At 36.4% G+C, this 20,497-nt stretch overlaps 1 protein-coding gene and 1 long non-coding RNA gene across 4 annotated transcripts in view; one reads left to right on the forward strand and one right to left on the reverse strand.

Annotated features, from left to right (window-relative positions):
- Positions 1 to 20,497, reverse strand: part of EMCN (endomucin) — a 122,682-nt gene that overhangs the window by 14,414 nt on the left and 87,771 nt on the right. For all 3 annotated transcript variants that reach the window (NM_001159694.2, NM_016242.4, XM_011532024.4), the window contains 6 exons: positions 13,558 to 13,650; positions 13,267 to 13,326; positions 11,528 to 11,623; positions 7,363 to 7,387; positions 6,144 to 6,205; positions 528 to 601 (listed from right to left, as the gene is read on the reverse strand). In NM_001159694.2, coding sequence (NP_001153166.1) covers positions 567 to 601; positions 6,144 to 6,205; positions 7,363 to 7,387; positions 11,528 to 11,623; positions 13,267 to 13,326; positions 13,558 to 13,650 — 371 coding nt within the window. In that variant the 3' untranslated portion in view covers positions 528 to 566. The remainder of the gene's footprint in view (positions 1 to 527; positions 602 to 6,143; positions 6,206 to 7,362; positions 7,388 to 11,527; positions 11,624 to 13,266; positions 13,327 to 13,557; positions 13,651 to 20,497) is intronic.
- LOC124900740 (uncharacterized) overlaps positions 11,617 to 20,497 on the forward strand; it is an 89,972-nt gene continuing 81,091 nt past the window's right edge. Inside the window, exon 1 of the long non-coding RNA XR_007058203.1 lies at positions 11,617 to 11,684. This is a non-coding gene — a long non-coding RNA (uncharacterized LOC124900740). The remainder of the gene's footprint in view (positions 11,685 to 20,497) is intronic.

Consider the following 20,497-nt stretch of genomic DNA (forward strand, 5'->3'; position numbering starts at 1 on the left):
TGGTATGGTCCTTATAGAGAGAGGGCAATTAGACCCTTCAACTAGCTTCTCTGAACCCATTTCCCTGAGCCAGCCTACGGCTGTGATACACATCTTTACTTTAATGCAGTTTCTATATTTTATCATTTTCTTGCAATAAACTGCAAATTTGCAAGCACCGTCACTTGGATTCTGCCAGTCTTTGTCAGCAACAGAAGCCTGTCTAAGTGCCACAGTTAGTGTGTGCTTACTGACCTAGGTAGGCAGACTGAATTTACAAGGAAACATTAACAACAGGCAGAAAGAGCAAATTGTGTCATTCCTTAGACAGGCAAGAGAATTGGACAAATCGTCTACAACCACCAGGTCATTCATTTTTTGGCAATTTTTGTTAGAGTTTGTTTTTAGACAAATAGACAATGATCATTGCATTGACACAAACCATTAGCTTTCCAGCTTTTGAAATTCTTTAAAAACAATCTAAGCTGCACCAGGCTAACAAAACAGATATTAATGATTGTCTCCGTGAATGAAATTGGGAAACTTACGTAATTATTGCCTAGGTGTGGAGAGAATTCCTCAAGCTGTCAGTTCTTGGTTTTTCCTTGTGCAGAGTGCTCACCTGAGAACAGAAGATATGTTTTGATCTGTAAGCTCAGAGACTGAGTAAGGATGAAAATAAAGTTTCCTAGCTTTTTTCTATTTTTCAAGGAAAGTTCAACTTTCCTGCAAGAATGTCATTAAAGCCACCATTTGCCTCTTGGTATTGTCTAGAAATTAGTCACCAAAATATATGAACTTTTCCCAGACATCATCTGTTTTCACTTTAAAGTAGCAATATGAAGTCCTGGGTGGGATAGGTCAGGGGGCAGTGGGGGCGGGGATGTGAGTTGGGAGATGATAACATTAGAGAAACCCTGGGGAATAAGTATTGATTTTTGCTTGTTACATGAGCTGGCTGTGCCTAAGCAAGCCCATGTCATGTGTTTAAAGTGCCATTTTATCAGGAAGACATTCTAGGGTCCTTCTGTTTAAATAATTCAGTGAGGGTTTTGTGAAAATGAATTTATAGGCCAATATGAACACTTGGGTGATATACAGAGCAGCGCAGGTGCCATTACTCAAAATCCCAGTGCTATTCCACCATCCAATATACAGAGAAATATTAACCTAGGATGGTGGCAAGCTGAGAGGCCCCAAGTATTTTTCACATGCCACTGGATTCATGACCAATATATTTCGCATTACTTGTGTCCTTCAGGTAGAATCGAGTATCAACATCAGTCAAACAATATAAAAGCAATATAGGTCAAATCTCCGGCTTTTAGAATAATTCTCATCATTTTGCTCCAGCTTTTATCTGCCACTTGTTAGGAAATCTGTCCTTTCGGGACTCTGAGGATGTCACCTGTTACTTGTACCATCACGGCAATAATAAATAGTGCCAGAGACCTCTGAGGAGAACAAATTCAAGACTCCTCTTCAAGAGCTCCTTCGATTCTATGCTCTGAGAAATGTTGGGCATAGTTCTGCAGCACCCCCAGCCCCTGCTCCAAGGCAATCTTTTGCTAACTATTGTTCGTTTTGCAGAAGACACAGCACCTGCTTGGAACCCACGGCTATGAAGTACTGGAATGAGAAGTAAATAAAATAAATATTGAGTCATCCCCTAGTATCTGCCAGAAGTCATGCAAAGCAAGTCATTGAAAATCTTTACAATTCGTAATATTCTTCCTCAAGGTCTGTTTAATTGACAGACTAGAAATTTTGAGAAAAATTTAATAACAATATGATATCAGTAACAAGAATAATGATATTTATAGTAAAAGAAAACAACCCACACACATATCTAGTGAAAAAAAAATCCAGAGGGAAATATATCAAATACCAGTAGTGGTTGTATGAAGATTGTTTCATAGGTAGTTTTAAATTCTTTTTTATTCTCTATTTTTTTCTATTTTTCATTATGCATAATCTGGTCAAATATTAAAATGGTAGTTTCAGCCATGAAGAAATATTATAAGGCAGTAATATATGTTAATTTGCCAAATTAACAACATGTTAAGATGAGGGAAAGACTATTTGTAGTTGAAACAGTCAAGGAAGCTTTGGTGGAAATGCAGAGAATGAGACAAATATTGACGGGCTGCGGACAGAAGAGGATTCTATATATGGCTTTATAAATTTGTGAATGTTTTGTTCATTTTTACTCTGTGGTTTTTTTTTGTTGTTAATGAACTTTTACTTGTAAAAATAAATAAGCAAACAAAGATGACTATGCACTTAATGAGTAATTGCCATAGCATACCAATTAGTTAGTTTGCTAATGACATATTAATTATATGTAATTACCATTAGAGGGGTAAGTGTACATGACAAAGGAGAGCAAGAGACTCTCTCTTCCTTCTAGAAAGCTGGGTTCAGAGAGAGAGACAGTCAGGGGACAGGGAAGGGAATGAATGAAGTCGGAGAAATATGCATTATTATTGTATATCAAGTGCTTTCAAAACTGAGCTAGAGAAGGCAGGCACATCATGGACGGTGTTGCAGACATGCTAAGGTGTTTGAACTTAACCTTAAGTTATTACTTATCAGAGTCTTCCAAGTAGAGGAATATTCTAATGAATTCAGATCTGATTTTTCTTACTCTAAATGGTTCAAAATCAACTGATGCCTTGAAGCTAAGTTTAGTGATGCAATGTTTTTCTTCTTCCATAGAGTCATATATTTCTAATTTCAAGATTTTTCTTTATAATTTATATGACTTGACATATTAAAAGTGAGATAATGTGTATTAACTGTCTGAGATGATATAAATAAGAATCATGTTTAAAATGCATGTCACACATACATTTTTTAGTCAATCATGGTGATGTTTAACCTGACAAGATCGCTTACTAAAGCTGAGAAGTAGCTTATATGTTCTTATGAAGGACTCCTTGATCTGCAACATTTGATGCCCATTTTTTTTCCTGAAAGCATCTTCTTGTTATACCCTAGTAAGCTTTCTCTTTTACATTTAAGAGAATTCCAAATTTAAACATGCATGAGTTACAGTTTCAGCAGAAGACCTTATTCAACGAAGAATATATTTAAAGGAAGAAGGGAGTATGGATGGATGAACATCAACCATATTACTTATTCCATGACCTAACTGAAAAAGAGGGATTTGGGTCAAAGAACTCTCTTCCCTGGAGAAAATGACCAGAACTTTAACTGTGGCTCATTGAGGCTTCTAGAAAACCAGAAGATTTGGCATCCCTTGGCATTTTCCCTAAAAGTGGGTGGCTGCAGAGGGCTGTTTCCTTGGAAACATTGTTTATTGGTCTGTACCATAGTAAAATGTCCAGGGTTTCTACACTGAAGCAATGACAGATTCAAATAATTTTTATGACCACTGAAGCTCAAATTTCATTGTGTTACCCTTCTATGCTCATTAATTAACATTGTATTTCTTAGGTCTTGAAACAAATAAAGTAAATTGTAACAGTCATCAATTCTGAGTAGCTGGTGGTCAGATATTTGTTCTATCAATTGTTTTCTGTATTTTAAAAATTTCTAAAAATTTTTATATAGGCAGCAGTAGAAAAATTGAGTTAAGCTTGTGAACTGACATCAAACCTAACCATTTAAGTTTTTTTTTTCTACTTATTTTTTAGGAAAGATGTCAGTATTAGGCAAGAGAAGTTACTTAAATAAAAATAATTTTAGTAACGTAACTTCTCTTGAGTGTAGTGAGCATAGCATTATAAAGAAAAGATATTTGAATACATTTTGAAATGCAGTGGGAAGAAATTTGTTTGCTAGTGTTTGGGGAGCCACCAAGTTCTGTTAATGATAGACTTGAATAAAAATTGTGGTAGTACAAGGAGCATTTGGATAGCATTATATTTTAGATGATAAATTCTGGGCTACTGAAGTCTACTCTGAATCATCAATTTCAGTGTTGCCTTATCACCAAATATTTTCCATGGTAATCATCTGGGTTGCCCTTTGAGAGGTTATTTTGGTAAAAGCAATACAATTTCTAAATTGAAGTTGGCAGAAATAAAAGTACCCAAGAATATATCTTACTATTTCCATGGTAATATCTCCCTCTTAGACCTGTGACCTGACAAGTTATTTTTGAAGAAAAGGAAGTTAGGTGGGCCAACGGTCTATTTAACTAGTCTGCCATCGTCTATTCCACTTACTGCTATGGTCACCACTAGAGTGGGAGAGAGCCTACACGGAATTTTCCCCAGGCCTTAGAGTCTGCTATTACATTTGCAACGAAGAAACACAAGGTTCTCTGAGGCTTTCCCCCTGCTGGAAGTCATGATTCTAGTGTCAGTTGTCCCATTTCTTTGGCAGAAATGGGTGGTAGAAAACTGATCCCAGCACCCTCCTCACAAGGAGAGCCAGGAGCTTCTACACAGAGCACTTCCAGGTATGTTTAGCACCCTGACTCACCACTTGGAGAGCCAACATGACTGCAGAGGGTTTGGAGTATGTGTGATGCCTGCTTGCAAGCCACGGGCAGATTCTGAGGTCTTTTCTTGATAAATCGTGTAGTCACACTTAGGATCTCTCATGTGCTTACTCAGGACTGGTTCACATTAGGCTGCTTGAGCACTTTTTTTTTTTTTTTTTTTTTTTTTTTTTGCCCTTTTCCCTGACCTGGTAAAATAGGCCTGGCTACTTAGTAAAGGCTGGTGAATAGCCAGGAGAAAACTGTGAGTGGCTTCTAACCACTCTATGGGTACACTTTGCTCCTTTGCCCCCTTCAGATGGTTCCTCCTGAGAGAAAGTATAGTATGGGAATAAAGGAAATATGTGTATTGAAGAGTGGAAGAGATACAAGAGCAAAGGAGATCTCTCCTAAAATAAGATGGCTCATGTGAGGGATTTCAGCATTCCTGTGCAGGCTTCAGCTGTTCCTGCTCTTCAACTCTTCTGTTTGCCTTTTGCCGTTTGTTCTAGTTTGAATTTATACATGAAATTGAGAACACTTTCAGCCTTTAATATCTTGCTCTTGATTTGGGACAATATTTATAGTTTTCTGTTTTACAAAATTATTTTCAGCCACCAGAAATATTTATAATATAGCTTATTCAACTGGGGAATTGGTTATTATAAATGTATTAATGTAACATGATATTTAAATTAGACCCACATGGTTTTTTATATCTATATTTTTATTTTTTTTATGAAGTCTCGCTCCTTTGTCACCCAGGCTGGAGTGCCGTGGCACGATCTTGCAGCTTCCGCCCCCCGGGTTCCAGCATTTCTCCTGCCTCAGTCTCCAGGGTAGCTGGGATTACAGGCATGCGCCACCATGCCCAGCTAATTTTTGTATTTTTCAGTAGTGACAGAGTTTCACCATTTTGGCCACGCTGGTCTCAAACTCCTGACCTCAGGTGATCTGCCCGCCTCAGCCTCCCAAAGTGCTGGGATTACAGGCATGAGCCATAGCTCCCGGCCAGATTATTTTATAAAACTAATAATTTGTTTTTAATTGATCTGTTTCGTGATATCAATGGTTTAAATGTCTAATCTACTCAAAAGAAAGAAAAATCCATGATTTTAATTTTGAAAAGCTATCTAGCACCACATTTTTTCATTGTTCTTGACACAAATCATACCTATATTTTGAAAGACTTTTACAATTCCAATCAAATGAATATACCTAAGAAACTGGAAAAATTCACATTACATCAATAGAATATTATATTTTACCTTTATGGAGAGGCTCAATTAAATGTATATAAATGATATAAAACATGATTTACATTTTAACTGATGACCAGTTTTTTTGCCTTTTTGACCATATGCGACTACATAGCCAGCACCAAAATGAAACAAAACAACAGCAATAATTTAAAAACTTGTTAACAAATTTTGGTATCTTTCTGCCACTCCTGCAGAATAGGAAATGCCTCCAGCCATCTACACATCCACACATCTATAGAAAGCAACCTCTAAAGGCCACATAGTCCAATAATCTTATCAAATTGGTAAGATTTTTCTTTCCTTCATGGGAGAATTTTACACTTATTGACAGTAATTGGCTATTTCTAAAGAAGTTAGGCCTTTTGTTTATGTTTCACATGAACAAAATCCAAGGTTATAGTTAGATTCTAAAATAACTAATTTTCATCTAATCAACTTGTCTGGAAACTTACCAGACTCATGAGAAATTGTCTTAACGGTAAGAAGCTTCACGCTCTCTTTATCAGACTGAGGTCTATTTGAAAAAAAAAACATGAAATTAACACCACAGTAATCAGCATTGTATGTTTGTGAAAGTATTGTGACACAAACAGAATGACGAAGATACATATGCATATATATATATAATGTGTGTGTATATATATACGTGTGTGTGTGTGTATACATACATATATATATATATATATCTCCATGGCAAGAACTTTGTCTTTTCACATACAAATACACATATACTTTTTAGCAATTTTTACTTTTTCTGGAATCAAGCCAATAAATCCCTGCCACTCTCTTATAGTGGTGATTGTCAGATAAATTAAAAATTAGTTTGAGTTGTGTGAAACACTTGGCACAAGGTCCATATCGCACATGTCTCCAATTCTGAATTATGGAGAGGAAGACATAGAAATGTTTACAAGCCTTTTGGGCTTAGGCTGAATTCTGGAGATATTCCTTTTCCTGAAGTTCTGAGATACTGTAGTATAGTATCTGAACTGCCTATTTTAATCAAGAGTTCTCATCTATCCAAAAGAGTTTCAAACTCTAATTATTTCCTTTGGACATCTGAGGAGTCTCTAAGTCATATGAATAGTAATTTAGCATTATTTCTAAAGTTTACAACCTTATGAAACATAAAAACACTTATATAAAGGTAGACCACAAATTCCTGTCAACAAGGAAAACAGGGTTTGTTTTGACATGAAAATCAATTCATCATGTCTCTTTGCAGCACCTTGGTTGTTACAGTTGCCTGGATTACTAAAATCTGCTTTATTTTAATCAAGTCAAAGTAAAACAGCCATCTACCTTAAAGGCACTGAGAACTGGCTCAAGGTAGAAGCACAAATTTCCCTGTGATAAACATATTAAAAATTTCACTGGGAAACTATTTTAAAACTCTAGGTATTTTTTCTATGATATTTTCCCTCATAATTATATTCATTCTTCTACTTTTCCATTTCATCTTTTTATTTCCCATTTTACCATTCTAAGATTAAACATGATCTTACATTTGGAATTTCTCTGTTAAATGGAGAGAGCTCTGACAAACAGTTAAAGCCAATATGTAGATTTTCTACACTTTAGAAATAATCCAAAAAAGTATAAGTAGAGTAACAATAATTTTCACTACGTAAATGGTAGGGTCTAAACAAAAGATGATATGGGCTTACTTACTGATCATTTCCATTTTCTGGTGTGCCTAGGAGAAGAGGGAGTTGTTATTAGAGTTGCAAAGAAGTTGGCTACCATAAATATGAGCAAGCCCCTCTAACCCCCTCACCTGCTGTCCACTCTTTTCTATGCAGAGATGTTTCTAAGTCATTTTAAAATATTTTAATTTTCCCCTTGCCAAGCCATTTCCTCAGGTATGGTTAATACTTATCCTGGCACTCATGGGATAGTCCTAATTAGGTCAAGTCCACTAAACTTAGTTCTGGACTAATCTTGATCTTGTAGTTTCATATCACTATGTGAAATTACTGTTCATTATTGCATATCCCATGGACAACAGAAAATGTCTGTTTATTTCAGTATCTCTGAAAAAATTCTATTAAAAGTATTGAAGGTTTTATGCCAGAGAATTGAAGTTTTGACTTTCCTTTATACATTGTTCTTTTTTGGGACAGAAATCACTGTGTTTGTGGTGAGCTACAATGTAGATACTATATCTAATTGTATCTTAAACCCACTGATTCAGCCTCTCAAAAGAGCCCTGCAAAATGTCGCAGAGGCTACTAGCTGCAACTAATCTTTTGTTCTCTTTGCCAGGCTGCTTCACAGCTGTCTGATAGAAAACACCTGGGGTTTAGAGTGAGAACTCAGAATGATTCATTCTGCACAAGGACATGGCCTCTCTGGAGTGAATGTTGGTGATCAAATCTTGCATTAATCTATGGCCAATCAGGCCAGCTGTTTAATGTGATTGCATAAGGTTCCCCTTGTTGTGCTCCTTTGGTCTGGTTTTATTCCATTGCAGCTTCTGTTTCTTAGATTTCCTTTTATATGTAATCTAAATCTTGTCATTGAGTATGCCCTTTGAATATAATTCTCCTGGCTTTGACTATCCTTGTTTTATAAAGACCTTAACTTCCACTCATATTTTGGCTGCTTCTATTTCTGTCATCTTGGTTAAGATATTGCCATCGTAACTCTTAATACGTAGGATTTAACCCATGGCACCATATGCTGCTCACCAATTAGACTTAACCTCATCTTTGCTCCATCAGTAAGGTTTTAACAGCATTTTTTGATTCCTATGTGTCATATACAATATCACCTGTGATGCTAATAGCCCTGTTTTAAAATGAGTTTTTTTCATTTATAATTTTTGGGGGTACATAGTAGATGTAGATATTTATGGGGTATAAGAGAGATTTTGATATAGGCATGCAATGCATAACAATCACATCATGGCAGTGGTGTATCCATCCCCTCAAGTATCCTTCGTGTTACAAACAGTTCAATTATATTCATTGAGTTATTTCAAAATGTATCATTAAGTTTATTATTGACTATAGTCGCCCTGTTGTGCTGTCAAATACTAGGTTTTACCCATACTTCATACATTTTTGTACCCATTAACCATCTCCACTTCCCCTCCACTACCCTTCCCAGCTTCTGGTAGCCATCCTTCTACTCTCTAGCTCCATGAGTTCAATTGTTTTGATTTTTTAGCTTCCAGAAATAAAAACATGGGAAGTTTGTCTTTCTGTGCCTGACTTATTTCACTTAACATAATGACTTCCAGTTCCATCCATGTTGTTGCAAATGACAGGATCTCATTCTTTTTTGTGACTGAATGGACATCACTGTGTATAAGCACCACATTTTCGTTATCTATTCATCTGCTGATGGACACTTAGGTTGCTTCCAAATCTTGGCTATTGTGAACAGTGCTGCAACAAATGTGGGACTGCAGGTATTTCTTTGATATATTGATTTCCTGTGTTAAGCGTATATACCCAGCAGCGGGATTGCTGGATCATATAGTAGCTGTATTTTTAGTTTTTTTGAGGAACCTCCAAGCTGTTCTCCATAGTGGTTGTACTAATTTACATTTCCACCCACAGCGTACGAGGTTTCCCTTTTCTCCGCATTCTCTCCAGCAAAATGTATTGAGATTTTTATATGCCTGTTTTAATATTTTTTCCCTAGGAAACTATAGCGATAGTCTCATTAGCAGATAGATGCAAGCCAACAGACTATTTTCTGCGTATATACCATTCTTATTTGGTTAAAGTTCAGTCCACTGTCAACCTTGTCCAGATAAGCTTCATTTCTTACGGAAATCTCTGATTCATGTTGTCTTCCACAGAGCAGAATGGGTTTACTAATTTCCCAAACTAGATAAAGTCTCTCCCACATACTTGAAGAGTGATTAACTGCAGGTATTTAATGGTGCTAATTTAATGATAACAGTGCTGTAAATTCTGTCTCAGAAACAAAGTTAACAACAACCAAAAAGATTTGGCTAATTGTACAATTGCCAAACTTGACTTTAAAATACTCATGTCTTCAGAATAGCTATCCGTAGTGGTAGGAACTTTATACATCCATGGAAACCGCTTTAATAGAAAAGGTCAACTTTTCAAATAATACATTCTTAAATCTTCCTATGTAAAGTAATTTTTAGTATAGCATATTTTTACAAATAAATTTAGCACATTAATTTTTACATATCCTGCTTACTCAACACTCTCAGGCTGATTTTCAGTAAAAGACAGGATTGGTAGGTAGTTCAGAAACTTAGAGAAATTAAACTGACTTATAAAAATGCTGTTTCTCCTCTGAAAACTGAACAAGGAGACATGTTTCAGACATTAAGAAGTTTATTCACTGATTCCCAAAGGAAAAGGCATTGATTTGTTTTTACTTTTCACCAAGAGCTAAAATGAACTCTGCTGTTTTGGTCTCCTAGCTTCTCTTGGTACTGTCGTTATCATACTACAACTGTCCATGCAATGCATGGTGAGCAGGTGGCTTTAGGGATAGCATTCACTGGTGTCCTGGGGGGCACACTGTCCATGAGGTAAACAAAGAATAATGCAGCTTATATACATTATAAAAATAATTGCTTTTTACCTTCTAACAGTTTATGAGACTTAGATTTTTTTGTGACATATTTAGAATTAAAGTGGGGAAGAAGAATTCTATTTACTGTACCTTTAAAAATGTAACTCAATAAGTATATAGTAAGGGCCTGCTATATATTAGGTAGCATGCAATGTGAACAATATGTGATTTGTGACTTGGAAGGGTTGCCTGACTTTCAAGAGAGGTAGGCACATGGAGAAATAAGTAACTGTACTATGGTATGATAAATGATATAATCCAAATCTGTAGTAATACAATTAAAGGTAGAATTCATTCTGCTTGAAGAAGTGGTATGTTATAAAAAGATACAGTAAATTTGTGTTTGAGTTGAGTCCTAATGGGTAAGTTGGAGATTAGGTATGTTATGAAAGGTAAGAGGTGGGCTGGATATTCCAGAAGGAATAGTATGGATGAGGGCATGGATACATGCTACTACATTATACGACCAGGGCTGGGCTGTGAAGTGGAAAGATAGTTTGCAATTACGGTAACATGACAGCTGAGCCATGGGAGTTGAAGGGGTATTTAGGTGAAGGTTGAGTAAAGAAGAGGCAAATTTCTTGGAACAGAAAAAAGACTGAGTAAAGACTAAAAGAAATCAGAATTTAGTTAACAATAATTTATCAGTATTAGTTCACTAATTGTGACAAACATACCATCAGATCTTAATAAGGGAATAAGGGAAACTAGGTATGGTGACTCACTGTACTATCTTTGCAACTTCCCTGTAACTCTAAGTCTACTCTAAAATAGAAAGTTTATTTTTAAAAAGGATAAAAAATATAACATGGTCTTGGAAGATACTTTCGTTGGGTGTGTCTCCCAGGAGGGAAATTAGTCACGGGACATTTTTTGAGATTATGGGCCCCTGAGCTGAATTCTTAGCAATCTCCCTCTTTATTTTCTGTTACATAGAAATGGAGTTAATCTTTACCATAGACAAGTTATGTCATTGTTATGCCCTCTTTACTATCATATTCCCCTGACCACCCATAAAATTTGGGCTATTTTATTAAAAAGAATTTCCCTATATTTGATAATATCTACTCATAGTATTTAGTTCCCACTCTGCAGTTCACTAGCATTCAGTGGGTGTCTGTGCCCTTCGTCCTTTGTTTCTGTGATCAGGAAATATGACATTTCATTTCTTTCTATAACTTTTCTCTCCCTTTAAGAATTTAAAATCAAGTTTAAACTGAGCATTCATTCTTCTTTCAGGAAAACAAAACAAAACACTGTTACCTACCCGGATCTGCCTTCCAGCACATTCGGTACAAACCCACCAGAACAAATACTGAAAGTGTTATTACAATCAAAGCAATAACCACCGGCAAAATAATACCTAAAAAGAATTGGAGACATTGTCAATTAGAGTGGCTACTGAATTTCACAGCGATAGTTTGGTAAGTGAGCCAAAGCATGAGTACTTCCTTTCTTCTTTAAATATCATTCTATTAAAAACATATTTTAGGCAAAGATTCCTCTGATTCATGGGGTTTGCTCTAGTTGTCATCTTTGACATAACCACTTGATGTCAGTCTTGTAACCTTTCTGAAACAAAATTCCAACCTTAAGAGAGAGTGCCCCCATCTTCCTGGAGACTGAAGAAGTGGGGAGATGGGAGACTGGAGAAGCAGAAGATGTACTCTAGATTATAATTAAATCCTCATTCACTCATTACATTTTTTAGTACTTTATAATGAAGTTACCAAAATATATATAACCCAACGGGGATTGCTTTAGTCCTAATGCTGGCTTTCTAAAACACTCACAAATTTCTTTCTATAATAATACCTTAAAACTAGAAAAGGCATAAAATAATGTAAGTAGATACCACAGTGAAGATGATTCTTGAAAATGAACATGATTCAAGAGAGATGTGTATGTGTGTCTGTTTGGGGGAGTGATGTTGCTGCAGTAACTTAGGGTGAGTTTTTCATATTTGTATTAAGAGGAAGAGTATTGCCTGCCTTCCTTCCTTCCTTCCTTCCTTCTTTCCTTCTTTTCTGATGGTTATTTCCAAGGTTAAAAGTACAGTGATAAAAGCAAGAGAGCTGTCATAGACACACAACTAAAGGAAATTAAGATGACTATTAGTTTAGCATATTTGCTTTCATATGTACTCCTTATATATTTATCAGGGGTGAGACTTACTCTCCAATTCATCTGTAGGATGGTTTACACTTCCATTGTCAGAGTTAAATATTTGTTTTAAGTAAGTTCTGCTGATTTCATAATAGACCTTAGGTGAAATCATTATTGCCTCCCAAATGAAGATGCCGTGAATCAGCAGGTCAGTAATTTCTATGATGACTTATTTAATGGAATGGGTTTAACTAAACTTAATAGAGCCTTTTATAATAACAGTTTTGAATATTGTCTTTTTATTCTTAATTACTAAGGAAGTTATTTAATATTCTGTATTCAGTCTTAGCACACACATAAATGTTATATGACATATATAGGTTTTAGTTAAAATGGAACATTTCTTAAAGGCCGTTTTTAATGTTCTATGAAGGCAAACAATTCATTTTTTGATATAATTTATTTATTATTTTAATTATTTACTTGACAAAAATAAAATATATTCAGGGTATACAACCTGATAATTTGGAAATAATTCACTTTTATGGGGACCTCTACCTGTGCATTTTGACTTATCTGAAACTAGTCCCATCGAGTCATCCTTGGCCCTTGATCGTAATTGTTAAACACTAAACTAAGAAAAAAATTGCCAAACTGTGCTTTTTTTCCTCTTCTGTTTTCTTTCTTTCTTTCTTTCTTTTCTTTTTTTTTTTTTTTGTCATTAAGACTCACTTGTGGGAAATTTTCAGAGCAGGCAGCAGTTAGATGGGATTGTAATGGGATTGCAGGCTCAGTAAAGTTGAGAAAAGGCTGCCCATAATCTGATTCCTCTCCTTTACTGGTCACATTCAAACATTCTGCATATCTACTGCCATGAATGAAGGCATTGCTGTTACTCACTGGAATAAGACCGGCTGGTTGCTGAAGTGCTTGCATTTTTTCCACCCTCAGTGCCTATTACTTTAAGAAAGAAAAAAACAAGTCACTTTTGGTTAATGTGTGCCAATTCTTGCAGTCCTCCCTCCACCCTCATTTAAGGAAACAGCCATGATTTGTAGGTATGATGCTGCAAGTGCAAAAGATTCAGTCTCATTCTGAAGGAGCTCTGTTTTGTGAGTCAAGATTGTTAGGGTTTCAGTCAAGAAAGGGTCAGGTAGAGCAGATTTCCACTCAGGCACACAGATATCATACCTTGAGACTGTGAGGTGTTTTCTGGAATTGTAACTGGTATTGAGGTTAATGTACCAGTTTTAGAAGGTGATGCATCTGGTTGTAGAACACTACCTGTATGAAAATTACAAATGCAGAATCAGGCTATGGTATTAAGCCTTCATATGGGATTTCTTTGCAGATTCAAACAGTTTGCTTTTCTGAAGATCTGTGAAAACTATTTATTGTCAAATAGTAGGATAAATGCAATCATAACACTAAACCATAAGTTCATCCATTCCTCCTGGAAAGATAATTAAATTTAGAATCACAAAGCCTGAGTATCAGTTTTACATCTTCAGGAACTCGCCAAGAAAACTTCAGTAAGTTTTTTAGCGTAGATTACAGCCTGTATAACCTACTGCATAAGATTCTTGTGGGATGTAAATCTATGCAAAAGCATTTTTCAAATTTCAGATATTATAACTTTGGGTGATAGTGTTTTTTTTCTATCACACATAGTTAAAATGATCATAACTGCACAGGACGTCAGATTTTATGTATTTATCAGTGATTGAAGAGAAAAAAATTGCAGTTGAGGCTTTGGTTAGAAGAATTGAGGAAAAATCAAAGAAGACTCCTTCATTTTCATCCCTAAAGTTCAGCAGCTGGTTTTATTATGTGCCTTTTCTAGAGTAATGCTACTTGACTGTTTTTTTTCACTAGCATCCGTGCTCTTTTTTTTCCAAGGAAAATATAAATTAAAAATTTATTGTTATCGTTATTTGTTTGTTTAGTTAACATTTGCCATCTTCAATCAGAAGGACTGAAGCAAAAATTATAAGTAAAAATCTACTATTCAAAATCCATAGCTGTCAATAAGTTTAAAGGAAATATAAATAATTAAGTATTGTATAAGTTGAAAACATTTATTCTTGTGAATTTGGAATAAAGTACAATTTGTACTTAGAAAACTTTTTGAAAATGTATTCTCTTCCTCGTGCAGTATGAAGTGCTCTATTTAAATCATGCCTGTTTGCCTTGCCTCTTCACTGAATTGCAAGTTCCTAGAGTGTGAGGGCCATACTTGTCCACACACCCAACATGGAGCTCTGGGTACAGGGGGTATGCAGTCAAATGTAGCTGACACTAAGAGGCACTTCTTATGATTATGGCTCCTTGGGCGTATTGAGGCCATGTATAATTGCACCAAAGAAATTGATATTTCTATGACTGCCTTGGCTCATTCCTTCTTCACCACCCACATCCCAGCACGCACTGCATGCTCATGCATTTTTGACATCTGTGGGTGAAGAATAACGTTCAGAGTCTGTACCGTTCTTGCCATGCAAGAGATCTGTGGGTGGAAGCTAGATATATGCCCATAAGAACAAAGAAAAATGTCAGGCTAGTGCACTAAGCAGGCAGAAAAAGGAATATTAAATGAAAGAGTGGGAACTAGCTGAAACCTTGGTACTTTCAGCTGCCTTTTCCAGTGTCAAGTAGTTTAGTGAGGATGAATGCTCTTTCAGTTTTCTTGGTGGAAAAGAAGGTGGCTGATTAAATAACCAATGATGTTAATCCTTTTGGGATTTCTCAAGGGTTAATTGTCCTACCATATTACCTTCCTGTAGACAGGCTAAATGGCAGACTCAGGACTGATTGTAATGTGTCTGGGTCAGAACAAACTCCCAACTTCCCTGCTTAAAACGTGTTGATTGCCCAGTGCCAATGGTTATTGCTAATGACCCATGGATAGGCCAAAATGTTAAGACTTCATAGTGGAAAGATTTGGTGGCTGCTTGAACAAATACTTTAAAAATTTGTTTTGTTTTTCTTTAAACTGCAACCTTCAGTTAAGAAATTATTTCTGAATCCAGCACACACACACACACACACACACACACACACACACAATTACTGCTCATGATCCAATAATGGGAATTAACCTACAGTTTGAGAAGCTCTGTGTTTTAGCATGATCATATTGCTGAAATTATGGTACTTGGCTGAATCCATAAAACATGAGCCTAATGTTATTCTTTCTGTGACTAAGATGCGGAATCCATGACATGCTCAGAGCCTGATGATCTACACAGTTTTTGTTGAGACTGTATTATCCTACATTACTAACAAAGTGGCATTGCCAGAGGAAGTATAGGAGAGCTATAGCAGAGTGGCTAAGAGCATGATTCTGAAGACAGGATAGCTGGGTACAAATCTGACTCTAGCACTTACCCCTGTGGAATCTTGGGCAAGTTGCTTAACCTCTATGTGCCTGAGTTTCCACATATATACATGGAGATTATAATAGTTCTACATCATGGTATTGTGAAAATTATATGAGTAAAAATAAATTTAAACTGTTTAGAAGGGAATGTGATATTAATATGTATATATTATATATAATAATAATGTTCTATTCTTATATTATGATTATTCCCCTAGAGAGTTGAACCTCCCAACCAAGGTCAGTTTGTCTAATTTTCTCAAAAATTCTAAGAATGAAAAATATATGAACTTCAGCCACTTCTGTGTTTTCACATGCTTCTTTGCTCTAGTCAAGAAGTAGAGGAACTGGAGAAACTGGAGTAGAATATGGTACTCTTAGATGACATAGATTTGTTCTTGGACCCTGACTTTTGGTGATTGTTATGATTATTGAATTTGTGGCTAGGTTGTTTCAGGATTTAAGTCCAGCCTGGAAACTTCAGGTCAGAACTTGGAGCAAGCTGATGAGACAGAGACCCTCAGAGTCAAGTCTGTTGTAATAATGTATGCCCAAATTTACCCCATCAGCATCTGACAATGGTACATATTTGGAGACCTCACTGTAGACCAATTACTTAATAAATCATTGAGAGTTTTAAAGACAGAAGACCTATCAATGTCCCAAGGCACCTGTGATTGCTATAATAATGCTCCTCACAGAACTCCAACTATAGAAAGCATAAGTGACCAAATTTACCCACGTGTCCTCTGAAACCCATCTCTCTGTTTGTGCTGGTGCCATGTCTCTCTAAGGCTGCTCCCAGCCAATGAGTGGACCTGCCAGGAATATTAAGGCCGGCTTGTCCTGGGAGGAATGTGGACTGGAGGATTCCCTGATGGTCTTGCTGAACCTCCCCTAGAATGCATGGCAGCCTAGATGCTTCTGCTCAGCATCCCCGTTCTCTCTCCCTATCACCATGTCAGATGTGCATTTCAGTCTGGTGGCTCTTCTAGACTTTCCTTGTCCCCTCACAGGCATTTTTTCTCTCATAGGCATTTTCCCCTAATAAAATCCTTGTACTTTTAACTGAATCTTGAACTCTGCTTCTCTGAACATTCAGATTAAAGCAGTCTCCCTGGCAAGTATTTAAAAGGCCACTTCTTATTGGGAGTAGAAATGAAGCCTCAGGAATTTTAAACTGGACTTGGAAGACTTGGGCACTGGTTCATAAGGGAAATATCTGTTTGTTTAAACCTTTTATTTTCCATTTTTTTTGGGAAGCCTAACTCTTCCTATGGAAAATCACCCCTTCCCCACTTCATGTGGTCATGAGGTGCCCCTTTTTAATCCAACTTCAGAGTCACTGTATGACTAAAGTTCTCTCCTAAGAATTTGAGTGTGTGGTGATTTTGAGTTATTCTCAGAGTGAAGCTCTAAAGGGACTATCTATGGGTTTACAAAATCCCTGAAATTACTACAATGCTATCCTTCTTTATTCTGTGAGTTTCCCTCCCCAATTTTTTTTTTAGTTAAAAGAAATCTTGGGCAGGGCATGGTGGCTCACGCCTGTAATCCCAGCACTTTGGAACTGGTCTCTAATTGTAATTTGATAGATTATTCATGTCCCATTTAAAAAAATAACTTTTCAGCCTTTGACACAAATCTTTCTCTTCTTCTTATCACGTTTTCTTTATGTGGCTACCAATAGAATAGAGCAGACTATTGATATTTTTTCTTTTTCGTCTCCTTGGTTGGTTCCTCCTCTTATTTCTTTTTTTAAAATCTTTTTAATATTTCTTTTTATATTGAGAACAGGATCTTGCTCTGTCTTCCAGGCTGAATTGCAGTGGGGCAGTCACAGTTCCCTGCAGCCTTCATTTACTGGGCTCAAGTGATCCTCCTGCTTCAGCCTCCTAAGTAGATAGGGCCACAGGTGTGCACCACCACACCCAGCTAATTTTCTCTCTCTCTCTTTTTTTTTTTTTTTGTAGAGATAGACCTTGCTATGTTTCTGAGGCTTGTCTCGAACTCCTGACCTCAAGTGATCTTCCCACCTCAGCCTCTCAAAGAGCTGGGATTATAGGCATGAGCCACCACATCTGTCCCCTCTTTTCTTTCTAAATTATAATCTTGGAGTGTCCCCTAGGGTTTAGTCCTTGGTCCTCATCTCCAATGACCCTCATTTATTTGGAGATTTCATTCAATTTCAAGGTTTAAATGCACCAATGTCACTGATTCCTCAACTTATACTTCCATCCCAGACCTTTTCCTAAGCTCTGGATTTATAAATCCGGATACTTACTTAGCAAGTAATAGACATTTTAAACCCAACATGTCCACATTTTAACTTCCACTCTATCTGAAGCCTTCCTATCCTTGCTTGGAGCAGACATTCCTTCCAATTGCTCAGGCCAAAGACCTATTTTTGGCTCATCTCTTTCTATTCTATTCCACACGCAATCATCAGGAATAGTTATTGGCTTCATCTCCGAACTAAATCCAGATTTTGGAGATTTTGTGCCATCTACTCTGTGATCACCCTGGTCAAAGCCACCATCTTCTCTCTCCTATATCCTTTCTTCCTTCAGCTGAGTTATAAAACATGGGTCAGCTAATGTAACACTGCTGCTCAAATCCCTCAGTGATTCACCATTCCACTTAGAGAAAAAGCCGAAGTCCATGCAATAGCCCACAAAACCCTAGGTAATCTGCCTGGCAAATCCCCTGCCTCAACTCCGCCCACTTGCTTAATGCTGTCCTTTAAACATGCCAGGCCTCTCCTCAAGTTCTAGCTCTGCCTGGATGTTCTTCCTCCACATATTGGGTGACTCACTTCCTTCTTGTATTTACTCAACTCTTTTCAGGGAGACTTACCTTGGCCACTTTTTTCAATCTTGCAAACCCTTCCCCACCTCTCCAGTGCTTGTGATCCCTTCCTCCTCTATTGCTGCACATTTTCTCTTTCTCAGAGCACTTATGCCTTTTAACTTACTATATAATTTAGTTAGTTATTATTTTATTGGGTATAGTTTACTTTCCCTGCTAGAATATAAGAACCTCTAGGGCAAGGATCTTTATTGTGCTCACTCATATTTCCCAAATGTTATAACAGTGTCTGGAAGTAGGGCCCATCACTAATCACTGAATGTATAAACAAACTTCTTGGCAGCAGAATTGACTACTGTGAAAGATGAAGTGAATTTATGAGATTACCTTTTAATCTTAACATCGGGATTGGCACATGTTTAAAATCGTGATATTATTATTTTTTCTCATTCATTCGACAACAACAAAAATAGAGACCTACTCTAGGTCCACCACTAAATGTTGAAGAAAATACAACAGAGTATGAGAGGTAGCTGTTGCGTTTACGGAGCTCACATTTTAGTAGGGAAGGTGAGAAGCATATCCCAAAATTGATAGATGTGAAACATGCAATAAAGAATAAGTAAAACAGCATGGCAAAGAGCAAGGATCAAAATAGCAGAGACTATGTTATTGTTTATTAAATTTTACTTACAACTCTTAATAAAAAGAACTTGAGGAGCTTAAGCAATTATACAGACCATAAGATGAATGAAATTGAAATAAGAAATCAGAACAAATGCAAATGGAAGAAGTAAACAGGCCCCTTCTAAGAGTTAATATCGGACATAAACATAATCGTTGGTGTTGGCCACAAGAATGGACTCTGAGCACCCTGACACTCAGGGAAAGGAGAACATGAGGTCTACTCTGGGCTGTTATTATTGGAGAGGAAAATAATCTATTATATAAGTGAAACATGAGTGGTATAGACAATAAGTGCTATGACTATAGTTGATGCAATTCTGTGTTTTGGAAAGGGAACATGTTGATATAATCCTGGAGTCTCCTCTAACTTTAGGGTTTTAGATTCTTTTCAATCTGTGGCTAGTACGTATTTTCACACACAATGGTGCCTCCTGTCTACTTCATAGGTAAAATATCACAGGAGGAATTTTCTGCCTTCGGATGATGCAAATTAATTCCCGCTCTCATCTGACCTTACCTTTCTGACCTGGTTGCACTCTTATAGCAATGCAAAAAAAGCCTTACCTTAAATTTCCTTTGCTTTGCTTTGGGCCGTCAATGTTAGTAACCTGAGGTAATAACATCTTCTAACCCAGAAATAATGGAATAACTGAATGGAGATTAACGTACTTTAATTCTGTAGAAATATTTGTTGTAGAAAAAGGATATATTTTTCTTTTTGATTAAAATAGTTTTTACAAAATTATATATGATAAGAGTGAATGAGGCACTGTGCTAATTAATTCCATATGTGCTAATTTATTTTATTCTTAAGCAAATATTTTTAATCCTGTGTTTTAAAGATGAGAGATACTGTGGCTCAGAGAGATAAGGTAATATATTTAACAGTAAGTGCAAGGCTAAACCATAAGCCAAATATGACTCAAAACCCTTTCTGTTTTCTTTCTAATATGCCATGTAATCAATAGATTTTAAATGTTTATCTTAGTTACTTATGACATCATTATCAATGGAATCAATAAAATCTATTCTTAGCATTCTGAAAGTTTTGAGATATTCTCACCTCTTCCTGCATCATGAATATAGACATGAAAACATTAAAAAGGATTTTATTTTCAAACCCTTAAAAGAGACTAGGTGACAGACATTGTTCTAAGTGTCTTACAACTATTAACACACTTAATTATTGTATTATTAGTATTTGCATTTTACAAAGTAGAAACTGATGCCTTGAGAGATTCATTTGCCCAGGGCCCC

This window comes from Homo sapiens, chromosome 4, assembly GCF_000001405.40.
Source record: "Homo sapiens chromosome 4, GRCh38.p14 Primary Assembly".
Classification (NCBI taxonomy): Eukaryota; Metazoa; Chordata; class Mammalia; order Primates; family Hominidae; genus Homo; species Homo sapiens.